The 13836-nt window shown below is 34.8% G+C and overlaps 1 protein-coding gene across 22 annotated transcripts in view; it reads left to right on the top strand.

Moving 5' to 3' along the window:
- Positions 1-13836, top strand: part of MMS22L (MMS22 like, DNA repair protein) — a 141875-nt gene that overhangs the window by 20485 nt on the left and 107554 nt on the right. For 21 of the 22 annotated variants that reach the window (XR_942376.2, NM_001350600.2, XM_047418577.1 and 18 more), the window contains 2 exons: positions 103-216; positions 8818-8994. Coding sequence is in view for 21 of the 22 variants with exons in the window: in XM_047418577.1 (XP_047274533.1) it covers positions 103-216; positions 8818-8994 (291 nt within the window). In the remaining variant the exon portion in view is untranslated. Of the gene's footprint in view, positions 1-102; positions 217-8385; positions 8641-8817; positions 8995-13836 lie in introns of those variants that run through there. The other variant, XM_011535678.4, reaches the window with a different exon arrangement.

Genomic DNA, 13836 nt, shown 5'->3' with positions numbered 1-13836 from the left:
CTTAGTCATCTAAATCATTCTTTTAAAAGTATTTGAAAGATATATGGCATTTAAAATTCTGCTGCTGTCTTATAAATAACACATTTTGGTTATTTTCTATAGGTTAGGTCTTCTGAATCATTAATGAGTGACCAGTGTCCATGTTTATGCATTAAAGAATTATGGGTTCTACTTATTCATCTTCTAGACCACAGAAGTAAATGGTTTGTCTCGGAAGTAAGTTGGAAAATTGATGTGTTGGTTATTGTTACTAACCTTTATATTGATTTAATCCAATGGTTTTAACTGAGAAAAATCTTAACTTCCTTTTTTATAATAAGGCAATAATAACCACCAATAGAGCAATAACTGAGTACTGAATATCTACTTTATTTTTAACCCTAATTATTTTTAGCCCCAAGTTAGTAATATGAAAAATCTAAGAGCAGTACAAGGTTCAACCCTTACTTTTTTTCAAGTTTTGTTGTTGTTGTTCTATCAGAAATCTTTCAGACTAAGGTATTTACTACCCATTAGTAACCTAGAAAACATTTTAGTCAGGAAATACGGCAGATTTAGAAGATTTGTGGAGAAATAAAACAGGTTTCTATTACTCAATTTTATAGCAATTTCAAGGAGGGAGGAAGAGAAGCAGAAAAGGGAAGATGAGAAACTTTCACTTCATTTTCAGTCATGTCTTCAGAACAGGGCTTTATTTTATTTCAAGTGCTGTAGGTTATTGAAAAAGAGAAGTATCCTAGGCAGAAGTAAGTAAAACAGTCTGTTGTAAAACGGTATTAAAAATGGTTTATGTTATATGAAAGGGTACTTTTGATTTTTCATGGATTTTAAAATTTTCCAGTTTTCTGTAATTTGGGGTTTGGGTGCTGCTATCTTTTTTTTTTTTTTTTTTTGAGGCAGTCTTGCTCTGTTGCTCAGGCTAGAGTGCTCACTGCAGCCTCCACCTTGGCATGATCTCGGCTCACTGCAATCTCCGCCTCCCAGTTCAAGCAATTCTCGTGCCTTAGCATCCTGAGTAGCTAGGGTTACAGGCATGCACCACCGTGGCCAGCTAATTTTTGTATTTTTGGTAGAGATGGGGTTTTACCATGTTGCCCAGGCTGGTCTTGAACTCCTGACCTCAAGTGATCTGCCTGCCTTGGCCTCCCAAAGTGCTAGGATTACAGGCATGAGCCACCATGCCTGGCCTGCTATCTTTTTTTAATAACAACTCTATTTTTGTAGGTTTGCAAGTACTGTATTTATTTTGAATTATTATTTTAGCATCAAATAAATGTAAACTTAATATATTTTTGTTTATTGAGTAAAAAAATTTATTTTCATAACCTAGAGGCAGTTGCTGAATTGTGTAAATTTGAACTTTGGCTTTCAGGCATTAAGGGGTACAAGAATAGAAGATAAAGTTCAGAGTTTATCAAGTTGGTAGCCTACAACTACACCAGTTATCCATAAAACTGGGCACTCAGAAAGATGAAGTAGAAACTCAACTAGATTTGTAAGGAAAACTGACTGTCTTTAACTGTGGTGCTTTTCAGAAGTTTAAAATTGCGTCTGTGTGTTTTTTGTTGTATTCTAGCCCTTATGTGGGTTTACAGACTGAGTTCATGTTACCTAGATTTTATTAAAAATTTCAAACCATTGAGCCCAGGATATCGAGGATACAGTGAGCCAAGATTGTGCCACTGCACTCCAGCCTGGATGACAAAGCAAGACCCTCTCTTGAAAAAAGAAAAAAAAATTTCAAGGCATTGAATTCTGGGTAGCCAAGAAAAATGGATGGATGCCTAAACCCACATCTCCCTACATAACCTTCCAACAAAATATAGAACAGCAAAATCAAATATATCTACTGTTGACTCTTGAACAATGTGGGAGTTAGGGATGCTGACCGTCCCCCCAACATGCAGTCAGAAAACTGCATGTAACTTTTGACTTCCCCAAAAAACCATTGGTGGCCTACTATTGACTGCAATCCTTACCCATAACATAAAGAAACAATTAACATGTATTTTGTATGTTGTATGTATTATATACATGATAAACTAGAGAAAATAAATGTTAAGAAAACCATAAGAGAATATATATTTACTTCTCATTAAGTGGAAGTAGGTCACCATGAAGGTCTTCATCCTCATCTTCATGTTGAGTAGGCTAAGGAGGAGGAGGAAGAAGAGGAGGGGTTGGTCTTGCTGTCTTCGGGGTGGTAGAGATGGAAGAAAATCCATGTATAAGCGCACCCATGCATTTCAAACCCGTGTTGTTCAAACGTCAGCTGTATACAAAAACATACGTATTATATAACTGCAAATGGGAGTGCTTAGTACTGTCAGTTTTAAAAACAGAAAACCTCTAAAGCTCTTACCACGAGCCTTTCTAGCAAGGCAGGGCAGTCTGAGAAAAACTACTCTGAGAAGAGAACTAACAGTGGTTATAAAACTGCTTTAAAATCATTGCCAGAATGTGAAGATACTGAAAAAGTTTTCTTGTAGATCGGAGAACTGATAAGAAAGAAACATAAAAGTGTCCACATGACATGGAGTTTCTGTAGAAGGCAAAAATGAATCATGGTACCCATTGGTGATTGGGTGGTGAAGGGCACCAGAAGAGAAAGCAGAAAATTTAGGGTCTTAAAACACCACCACCAAAAAAAGAATAAATCAAAGGACTCATACCCTCTCCCACCACCAAAAAAAAAGAAGAAAGAAAAGGAAAGGAAATTCAGTAAAGAAATGGGACTTTGGTGCATTGTCAAAAGAAGGTAACCCTGAATTAAGAATCTTTTAAGCTAATCCTAATCTACAAAATGAATGGAATGAAACTAGACCATTATAAACTTACTAGAAGAAAACAGATTTGATAACACTTTAGTTGATGGTACCCTCTCCCCCAGAAACAACCATAAAACAGAAGAAACTGACAACACTGTAGATTGAATTAGTTTGTCTGTTCAGACTACATCTGGGAGTATAGAAAAACACCTTGAATAAGATACTCAAATGTTAAAAACAAATGGACAGAAAACCGGGGATGGATGGAAAGAATACATTCAATGCAGGAAAGAAATAGGAAGAGGAAAATTATATCCGTATTGACTAAATTACAACATGACTGAGGGAGAATAGACTTAAATGAAAATTTAATAAGGGGCATAGAAGAAAGGTTGAAAACAACTAAGGGAATAAAAATGAGATAAATATGAAGAGAGTGAGAAAATGGTTGAGATGGAAGGTAGGCAAGGAGGAAATAACTGTACATATAAATGCAATCCCTAGAGAAGAAAACAGTGTGATATAGCTAATATTAAAAACTATAATCAAAGGAAACTTCCCAGAAATAAAAGATCTAAATCTACGTATTGAAAGGGTCTGCTGGATAATTTGAAAGATTAACCCCAAGCAATCCACCCGAAGACAAGTCTTACTAAAACTGTTTCACTTTAAACATAAAGGAAAAAATCTCCAAGTCCTCTAGGCACAAAGACCAAACAACTTATAAGAGCAAAATAATTTTATTGGCACTAGACTTGCAAAGTCAACTTAAAACAAGGCCTCAATGCAGCATTTAAAATGACTCAATGAAAAAGTGTGAGCCAAGGATTTTGTAACTTTGACCCTAGCAATCCCACTTCCAGGAATTTACTCTAAATGTGTACCCTCCAAAATTAAAATGCATATGCATACGTTTATTTATTGCAGTATTGTTTTTATAATAGTATAGTAGAAACTAAATTCTTATATATAAAAGAGTAGTTGAACAAACCATGGTATATCTGTACTCTGAAGTATTATTCTGTATTAGTGTGTGTTCTCCAGAGAAACAGCCAATAGGATATATAGATATATATATATATATAAGATTTATTATAATGAATTGGCTCGCAGAGTTATGGAGGCCAAGAAGTCCCGAATCTGAGGTTGGCAAGCTGAAGACCCAGAGGAGCTGATGGTATAGTTTCCAGTCTCAGTCCAAAGGTCTGCAAACCAGGAAAGCCAATGGTGTAATTTCCAGTCTGAGTCCAAGTCTGAAGGCAGGAAAAGAACAGTGTTTCAGTATGAAGCACAGGGAGTCTTCTCTACCCTCGGAGGACTTTTTGTTGTATTCAGGCCACTAATTGATTGGATGGCACCCACCCATATTAGAGAGGGCCATCTCTTTACTCAGCCTACCAATTAAAATGTAACTCTCAACGAGAAAACCTTTATAGACACACTCAGAATAATATTTAACCAAATATCTTGGCATCCTGTGGCCTGTTCAAGTTGACACATAAAATTAACCATTCTATTTGTAGTTGTACAATAGAATGAGGAAGATATCTGAACTGATACGGAGTGAGTTGCAGAATGTATTGTTAAATGATAGAAATAAAGTTCAAAACTATAGGATGATGTTACCTTTTGTATAAGAAATTAGGAAAAAGGCAATGTGTGTGTGTGTATATATATGTGTTCAATTGTGCACAAATAAATACTGGAAAGACAAACTATTGAGATTGGTGGGTAAAAATAAAGATGGGTGGGTGAAAATGGAGTGGAAGGGTTTGATGTAATTATTTGGGTAGTTCTGACTTTAGAATCGTGTTAATGTTCCACATGCCCTAAAATTAAATCAATCTGTATGAAAGGTGCACTCAATGGAATATAACAGAAACAACTGAACTTAAATGTATTTTAAATGAATAACACTCTTTGAGGGGATTGGCAATGTTAACCCAGGTAACTTAAGAATGTACTATTTTGACACTATACTATAAGGCTAAAGACAATCATAAAGAATTGTAAATACTTAGGAGATTTGTTTTTTACATTGTTATGTGAGGATTAGCAATTTTAAATCTATTATATTTGTATTCTTGGACTGGACAAATTAATAAATACATTGTGGGTAATTGGAGTCAGGTTTGTCTGTGTTGGGGAATTGAGTTACACATATGGAAAGAAGGAAAGCCAGCATGAAGCACATTATGTTGGATTAGAATTTGTTATAGTATGCAATACTTCTTTTTAATATATAGGACTATATATAAATGTATATGTGTGTGTGTGCATACCTCCATTTCCTACCTTTTTCACTGGGTGGGCTTACAAGCAATGATACTGAGTAACAATATACACATTGCAGCTATATCTTAGTTTCAAAATAACCATTCTGTAGTGAAAGGAAACGAGTCTTTGAACAAATGGCTGATTACAGGATGAAGCATGGAAAGTAAACATGAGCCTGAAACATCTTGTACCAGAAACTAAGGAAGTGCTCAAAAAATGATGAGTACATGTCAGAAGGACATGAGAGTCAGCCTTAAGGTCTATAGGCTAAAATAGCTTTATTTTACCTCACTTTTTAAAGATATTAATAGGTAAAGAATTTTAGGTTGACAAATACTGTTTTGATACAATAAGGATATCATCCCACTGGCCTCCATTGCTGTTGAGCTACAAAATAGTAAGGGATTGTAATCTGTTCACTAGGAATCTGTGAGTCCCTACTGATATAAACAAATTGGGAAAAGGGAAGCTCTTCCTAATAGATGTAGAGTCATGATGGAATTAGAAAATCACCATTTGACAACCTCCATGGTAATTGTTTCAGGCAAGAATCCTCAATGGATGCTTAAAGTAGTGGACAAAACTGATGAAAAACAGCACATTTACATAGTTTGTTAAGATCTTTACATAATATTTATCAATTATAAAAGGGAAAATAATAACTTTATAGTACAGAAAATGTGGCAGGTACTACCTTAACCAAGCAATCAAAGTTAACTAGTAATAGGACAGATTGATATCATGTACCATCAATATGATGCCTTGAAAGAACAAAAATAGACCAGGTGTGGTGGCTCATGCCTGTAACCCCAGCACTTTGGGAGTCCTAGGTGAGAGGATTGCTTGAGCCCAGGAGTTCAAGACTGGGCAACATAGAGACGTAATCTTTACAAAAAATAAACAAGATTACCTATGTGTGGTGGTGGCATGCCTGTGGTCCCAGCTACTTGGGAGGCTGAGGTGGGATGATCACTTGAGCCCAGAATTTTGCACCAGTGCCCTGTAGCCTGGGCAACAGAGTGAGACCCTCTCCCCCCACAAAAAAAGAATAAAATGTGTAATGTCAGACAAACCTGAAAAACTGGTATACTCTAAAAATATCAAGGTTATGAGTGGTATAGTCTGAGGAACGCTTACAGATTAAAGTAAGCTGAAGAAACATTAAATGATGGGATAGCTAAATGCACCTTATGATTGCTGCATAATGGTATAGTAGGCTAATTTTGAATAAGATCTGTTATGCATAATATAACAAAAGATGGAAAACATGAAAGAGTGGTTAAGAGACATTAAGAATAGAGAGGATGTCTGATATACTTCTAACTATAGTTAAAAAGGAAGTGGAACAACAAAAATATTTGAAGAAAAAATGACTTGAAAATTTTCAAATGTTAGTGAAAGCTAATCAGATAAATTCAGTGCACCCACATAGGGTAAATAAAAAGAAAAAACACACCCAGATAACATCACAGTGGAATCACAGAAGACCAAAGACAAAGAGAAGAAATTTAAAGCATCTTACAGAAAAATGTGTTACTTTATTTTATTTATTTTTTTAAGAGAGAAGGTCTCACTGTGTCACCCAGTCTGGAGTGCAGTAGTGTGGTCACAGCTCACTGCAGCCTCAACCTGTTGAACTCAAGTGATCCTCCTGTCTCAGACTCCTTAGTAGCTGGGAGTACAAGCACATGCCACCACACCTGGCTAATTTATTTTTTGTAGAGACAGGGTCTCACTGGTCTGCCCAGGTTGGTCTCGAACACCTGACCTCAAGCAGTCCTTCTGCCTTGCCCTCCCAAAGTGTTATGATTACAGGTGTGAGCTGCCACAGCTGGCCAATATAGTACCACTAAAAGAGTGACAATTGGGCAGCTGACTTTTCAACAACAATGGAGGCCAGTGGGAATGATATCCTTATTGTATCAAAACAATATTTGTCAACCTAAAATTCTTTACCTATTAATATCTTTAAAAAGTGAGGTAAAATAAAGCTATTTTCATTGAAGCAAAATTGAAGAGAATCCTGAAGGATATTTAGGCAGAAGAATGGTGATGCCAAAATGGGAATTCTGACATGTAGAAGGAATAAAGAGCAAAGAAAGTGGTACATGTTTTGTATAAATCAGTAATATAATTTATTGGAATTAAAAAACGGCTAAAGCACATAGTAATAGTACCATCTAAAGTGAGTAGGACATAAATGAGCTACTCTTTTAAGGTTCTTGTTTGCTCTAAGAGAAAGGTCTATGTTAATTTACCAAGACATTTGGATGTGTAATGTTTATTTCTAAGATCATCACTGAAAGAAGAAAAGTAGACTTTTTAACTTCCAAGCAGGTAGAGGGGGAAAAAATTAATATTCAACCCCAGAGAAGGAGGTGTTGATGGATACAGTAGGTATACAAATAGAAATATGGAATAAGATTGTAGATTTAAAACTAAATATATTAGTCATTATATTACCTGCAATGGTACTACTAAAAGCTCCATTTAAAAGACATATTGTCAGGATATATTCTAAAACAGAATATATCAAGGTTCAAAATTGATAGAAAAGATACAAGAAAGTGACGTATTAAACAAATATTGGAAAAATTTTGACTTTAAAACAAAAAAGCATTAAGTTGTTTTATAGTGATGAAAGGTTTACTTTATCAGGGATAAATTTAAATTTGCATGTGGCTAATAACATGGTGTTAACCGTAGCAATTTAAAATGGACAGATTTTCAAGGAGAAATACACATGCATAGAAATAATGAAATATATTTCTAAATAACTCATAAGTTAAAGAAGAGATGATGGAAATTAGAAAATATTCCAAAGTAAATAACATTCTGTAAACTAAAGTTTTGGGACTACAGCTAAAAGTTATAATTAGAGGGAAATTTGTAACTGTATATGCAAATACAGGAAAAAAGAAAGATTGCAAATGAACTAATAATTTATCTCAAGATGTTAGCAATAAGCCCTTCATAGTAAATCCAAAGAAGGTAAAAGGAATGAAATTATAAAAATAACAAAAAATTATGAATTTAAAACAATGAAAAGGATAAAATGAGCAAAAGTTGGTTCCTCAAATTGATACCTAAAATTGGCCAATGTTACTTAAGATGGTTACAAAAATACTCAATACTAGAAATATAAAAAGGAACATGACTTCAGTTTCTGTATACATTAGAAAGGTAAGAGATACTGTCGACAACTTTATGTCTAATAACTTGAACATTTACATGAAATACCTAGAAAAACCTAAAACTCACTAAATGTTCTGCAATAGTAGATTGAATAAATGTTTTATCATATAGTCATATACTGGAATATTGCAATAAGCTATGGCAGTTTTCATTAATATAGATGAGTTCATCAGAAACGCAGCATTGACCAAAGAAGCAAGTTACAAAAGAATTAGAAACAAGCCGCTTGAGAATACAGACATGCATTTAAAAAAAACAAAATACAGATGAAGCCACACAATATATAATATAGGCTGGTATACCTGTGTGGCGAAACAAAAAAGCAAGGAAATGATTTATCATGAAAGTCAGCAAAATTGTTAACTACTGGATGGAGGAGGAAGATGTGGTGACCTGTAAGGTACTTCTAAAGTACTATTTATGTTCTGATTCTTAACCTGGGCATTTTTATTATTTCAGTTTTATATATGTGTTTTGTCTTTTGTATATATGCTTCATTATAAAAATAGAGAAAAACCACGAAATCAAAGGTTATTGAAACTGTCTTAATGGAATCAAATTACTTCTGTTTCTATAGTCATTTTGGAACTGGTTGAATAAACTACTTAAAACACTGCTTGAAAAATCAAGTGACCGAAGAAGATCCTCTATGCCTGTAATCCAGTCCAGGGATCCATTAGGTTTTAGTTGGTGGATTATTACTCATGTAGCATCATTTTACAAGTTTGATCGCCATGGAGTACCAGATGAAATGGTAAGACTTCATTTTTTAAAAACTTTCTTATATTGTCAATTAATATGTAATTATTTGGACAAATTAGAAAATAAGTGAGCAGAAACAAGAAAAGTCAGACTACAATCACAGAGATAAATTATTTATGTATAATGTTTCTGTAAACATCTTGAAAAATTATAAAGTTTATGTTTTAATTGTTTAATTAAAAAAAATTACTTGTAGAAGATTTGGTATGTAGTCCTGGCCCTGCTACTGAACAATTGTGTGACCCTGAGCAAATTACTTAAACCTTTCTAGCTTTGTCTTCCGTTAACAAAAAATCATGGGATTGGATTGTCACAAAGATTCCTTCTAGTTTTAAAATCTATTATGATTGGCAAAGAAATTTCTCGAGGAATGAATTACTTATTTTTGTGAATAATTTAATAAAAGTACTTCAGAATAGCACTTCTTTAGTGAAGCTTTTTGCTAAGATAACTTATTAAACAACCATGAAGTTTGCTTCAAATACAAAGAGATTTTAACTAGTATATTAATTTCTCATTAGAAACATTTTTTACAGTGTTACTTAAAAACCCTATGAATAAAATCAGCTAACAGATGTTTACTTTGAAGCCCTATTTTTATACAATTTCTACCATATTCAGAAATTAATAGTATTGTATTATTGTATCAGCCTATCAGCTCCATAAAATAAGCATCTAGAATCATGAAGCCAACTTGTCTATATTTTCAAAATTGCCATTTTTTATGGCAGTGGTTACCAAACCTGGCTGATCATTAGACTTGTGAGTTTTAAAAAATCCAGGTATCTAGTCCAGCTGCAGTGGCTCATGCCTATAATCCCAGCACTTTGGAAGGCCAAGGCGGGTGGATCACTTGAGATCAGGAGTTTGACATCAGCCTGGCCAATGTGGTGAAACCCTGTCTTTACTAAAAATACAGAAATTAGCAGGGCATGGTGACGCACACCTGTAGTCCCAGGTACTTGGGAGACGGAGACAGGAGAATTGCTTGAACCCGGAGACGGAGTTTGCGGTGAGCCGAGATCACACCACTGCACTCCAGACTGGGCAACAGAGTGAGACACCATCCAAAAAAAAAAAAAAAAAAAATCCAGATACCTAGATCTTAACTCTGGAGGTCCTGATTTGGAGTTTGGAAATCCTGATTTTTAAAAAGTTCCTTGGTTCTCATCCTCTACGAGGTATGGGAGCCATTGCTTTATGAAACATATTCTTTAATAGGCTTGATAGATTTTCCTCTTTGGAATATTGGATAGACCCAGCTTTGAGAAGTCATCCATGGAATCTGAGGGTTAGTTAGTATTAATATAGCATCATAGAAATGGAAAGGGTCTCAAAAAGTCCTCTAAATAATCCCCGTAATAATAAAAGGTCCTGTAGGAGATCCCAGAATATAGTGAAATAGTCAGAAATTGCTCTGAGAAGTTCACACACGGCCCAGTATCAGTGTATTTGAGTATTCTACCAATTTATTGAGAAAAGTCAATGAACTTCTCACAGAAAAGAATTGTATGTTTTTTGTTTGTATCCATGATTATTTACCATGCTAATACAGAGTAAATAATAAATTTTAGCAATTGCCATTATTACTATAGTAGTGCTTTTATTAAGTGTTTTTGTGGAGTTAATGTGATTTCACATCTTTTAATTATTAGAATATTAGAACTATATTAAAGGAACTAAGAAAATTTACCTGTAATTCTAAGGTCGTAATATAAGCATTTGCATTTTTCTTCCTCTCCAACTTTAGTTCCTCCAAGTATATATTTCTCATTTTAATCAATGTAAGTAAGTATGGCAATTAGTTAAGTGTTTCTGAGTTTCTGTTGTGTATTTGCATAATATTAGGTGCCTATCAGAGAATACACATGAAATAGATTGTACTACTTTTTTTTTTTTTTTTTGAGATGGAGTCTCACTCTGTCACCCAGGCTGGAGTATAATGGCGTGATCTCGGCTTACTGCAAACTCTGCCTCACGGGTTCAGGTGATTCTCCTGCCTCAGCCTCCCGAGTAGCTGGGATTACAGGTACACACCACCACGCCCAGCTAATTTTTGTATTTTTAGTAGAGATGGGGTTTCACCATGTTGGCCAGGCTGGTTTCGAACTCCTGACCTCGGTTAATCTGCCTACCTCAGTTAATCTGCCTGCCTCGGCCTCCCAAAAGTGCTGGGATTACAGGTGTGAGCCACCGCACCCTGCCAGATTGTACTACTTCTTGCTTCAAGGAACATGCTTTTAGGTTATTAAAAACTTGTTGGAACTGTATTAACACTTTTTTGAGTGCGTAGTATATTTTAATATTAGTTGATATTGACCCCGCCAGATATTCTCAGTGTGGTAGGCAATCTAGTCACATTAGGATATATTGTTGCCATTGCTATTGTAATATGGAATTGCAGTGATATAACCACCTATGGTTGCAGTGCTGAAGTCACTCTTCTATTTCTTTTTTTTTTTTTTTGAGATGGAGTCTCGCTCTGTCGCCCAGGCTGGAGTGCAGTGGCGCAGTCTTGGCTTACTGCAAGCTCCGCCTCCCGGGTTCATGCCATTCTCCTGCCTCTGCCTCCTGAGTAGTTGGGACTACAGGTGCCGGCCACCACGCCTGGCTAATTTTTTGTATTTTTCGTAGAAACGGGGTTTCACTGTGTTAGACAGGATAGTCTTGATCTTCTGACCTCGTGATCCGCCCGCTTCGGCCTCTCAAAGTGCTGGGATTACAGGCGTGAGCCACCGTACCTAGCCCTACCCTTCCATTTCATACAGAGAACTCCAGAGGAGATTATTGCTTTTATTAGCTCTGAATCAAGATAGTAAATGAATTGTCTGTGTTTAAAATAGCTTAACTTGCGTCTTTTAATATTTGTCAGCAGTTCCTGATTTTCTTTTGCCACGATTTTAAAAAATCACATATTTTATGTAGAAGGTTTTAAAAGAAAAGGCTGTGATAATTAATAGAAAAAGGATATGATAAAAATGATGAGGATGTGTAATATATATGTGTATATGCACATGTAAAATAAACTTTGCCTTTATATATGAGTCCTCAAAGAGTTTATTTCTGGATTTCCTAAAGGTTTTTAAAGAAAAGCTCTCTAGTTAATAATAGTTTTCATTAGGGGTAAAATATGTGCTGCATTTGCAACATATTTAGTATTTCACAGTGACTGTGTATTATCTCAGTGAAATATTTTAAAGTAGGTGAGAGGGTAATATATTCATTTTACAGGTAAAGAAATTGAGATACACAGTGGTTAAATATCACCCTATTTTATCTCTTAGATAAACTTGATATTAGATTTCTCCTAAGGATTGCCTCTTACGAATAGGTCTTTGGTAGGGTAACCATGTGTTCCATTTTGCCAGGTACAGACAGTCCCACTTTATACCTTATTATCTATTCATCCTAACTGGTTAATTTTTGCTTTTATCCTCAAAGTGTTTCAGCTTAATTGACAAATCAGATAGTCATTCTAATCCATGAACATAAAGGCATATTGACGTATTGTTTCTGAGAGATTATATAAGATGTTAGTTTGGGTCTGGAATCTGTTTAGAATTTTGAAAATTTTTTTTTCTCCTTATGATATATTAACATAAGCAACTACAATAGAGAAAATGGTTGTGCAGTAAGCATGCTTTATTCTACTAACAAGTAATCTGGAGTGAGAGATGATATGAAGTAATAATGGCTAGTCATGTGTTCTTCACCAGAGAAATATCTATAATCTTGTGGCAGTGTGGCGATGTTTCAGTTTTTAAACGTGAACTGCTTTGCCCTGAAGGTTAATGTGAAATCTTTACATTTTAAATAGGTTTAAAATGTAAACCTGTAGTGGATTTAAATCACAAAGCTATAATGGATTTAACTCACAAAGCTAGCCAATTTCTTAGTGTAGGCCTGTAAGAAAAATCTGGTATCTCACTTTTTATATTAGAGTCATTAGATTTTCTTACGTTTCTGTTTAATGCTTTTCTCTCAGACAAGATGAGAGTGGGTTACTCTCTCACGATTCTAGTCATCTATTTTAAAACCAAATACAGTTTAAAGAGGAAAATTACTTCTGGGCATTGCAAGGGGTCAGTTTTAACAGTGTTTTCTGTACCCAGAACATAATGCAATTAGTCAGGCTAGCTGATGCTCGTCTTTGAATCGTCTGAAATAGTAACCAGATAAAAGTGTGAAATGTAACCTTAAAATGAGAGTTGCACCAGACTACCTAGTCTGCTGGAAGTGGAGGGTGGAGAATCTGTTCTACATATCTGGTAGAGATCCTACCTATACTAACGTTTAAATGGGTATCTTAGTTTTAATGCTGAAATAAGAAATATAAAATGTAGCCTCAAATTGATGACATCCTACCTGCTTTCTATCAGCAGATTTAACTTGGTATGTAGAAAAAAAAATGCTGTAGCTGCCCAAAGTGAAATTTTATTGTGGAAGAAAAATCTATATCTCTTTGATACATATTCTCTTACCCTTGATTTGGGTATGACATAGTTGTCATTCTTTTCTTTGAATTACAGTTTATTTTTGTTTTAGATTATAGCCACAAAACTGATTTATATAGTTGAAATTCTTTGGGTGAGAATTACAGTTTTTCTGTAATTCTTGTGATTCAAATGCTTTGATAACACAGAATGATTGAAATATACTCAACACTATCCAGTTATAAAGCTAAAACTTAAATTATATCAACCCTGTCATGGCCCTTCTCACTTGGCACTGGAGGTGACATTTTCTTAATAAAGAATGATACAAAAATGAATTGCTGAAATCTGAGGGAAGGCATGTTAGGTAAAAAAAAAAAAAAAAAAAAATTGGTTATTGG

The sequence above is a fragment of the Homo sapiens genome, chromosome 6 (genome assembly GCF_000001405.40).
Source record: "Homo sapiens chromosome 6, GRCh38.p14 Primary Assembly".
NCBI lineage: Eukaryota > Metazoa > Chordata > Mammalia > Primates > Hominidae > Homo > Homo sapiens.
Note: the sequence above shows the minus strand (reverse complement) of the source record. Positions and strands in the feature narration are given on the sequence as shown.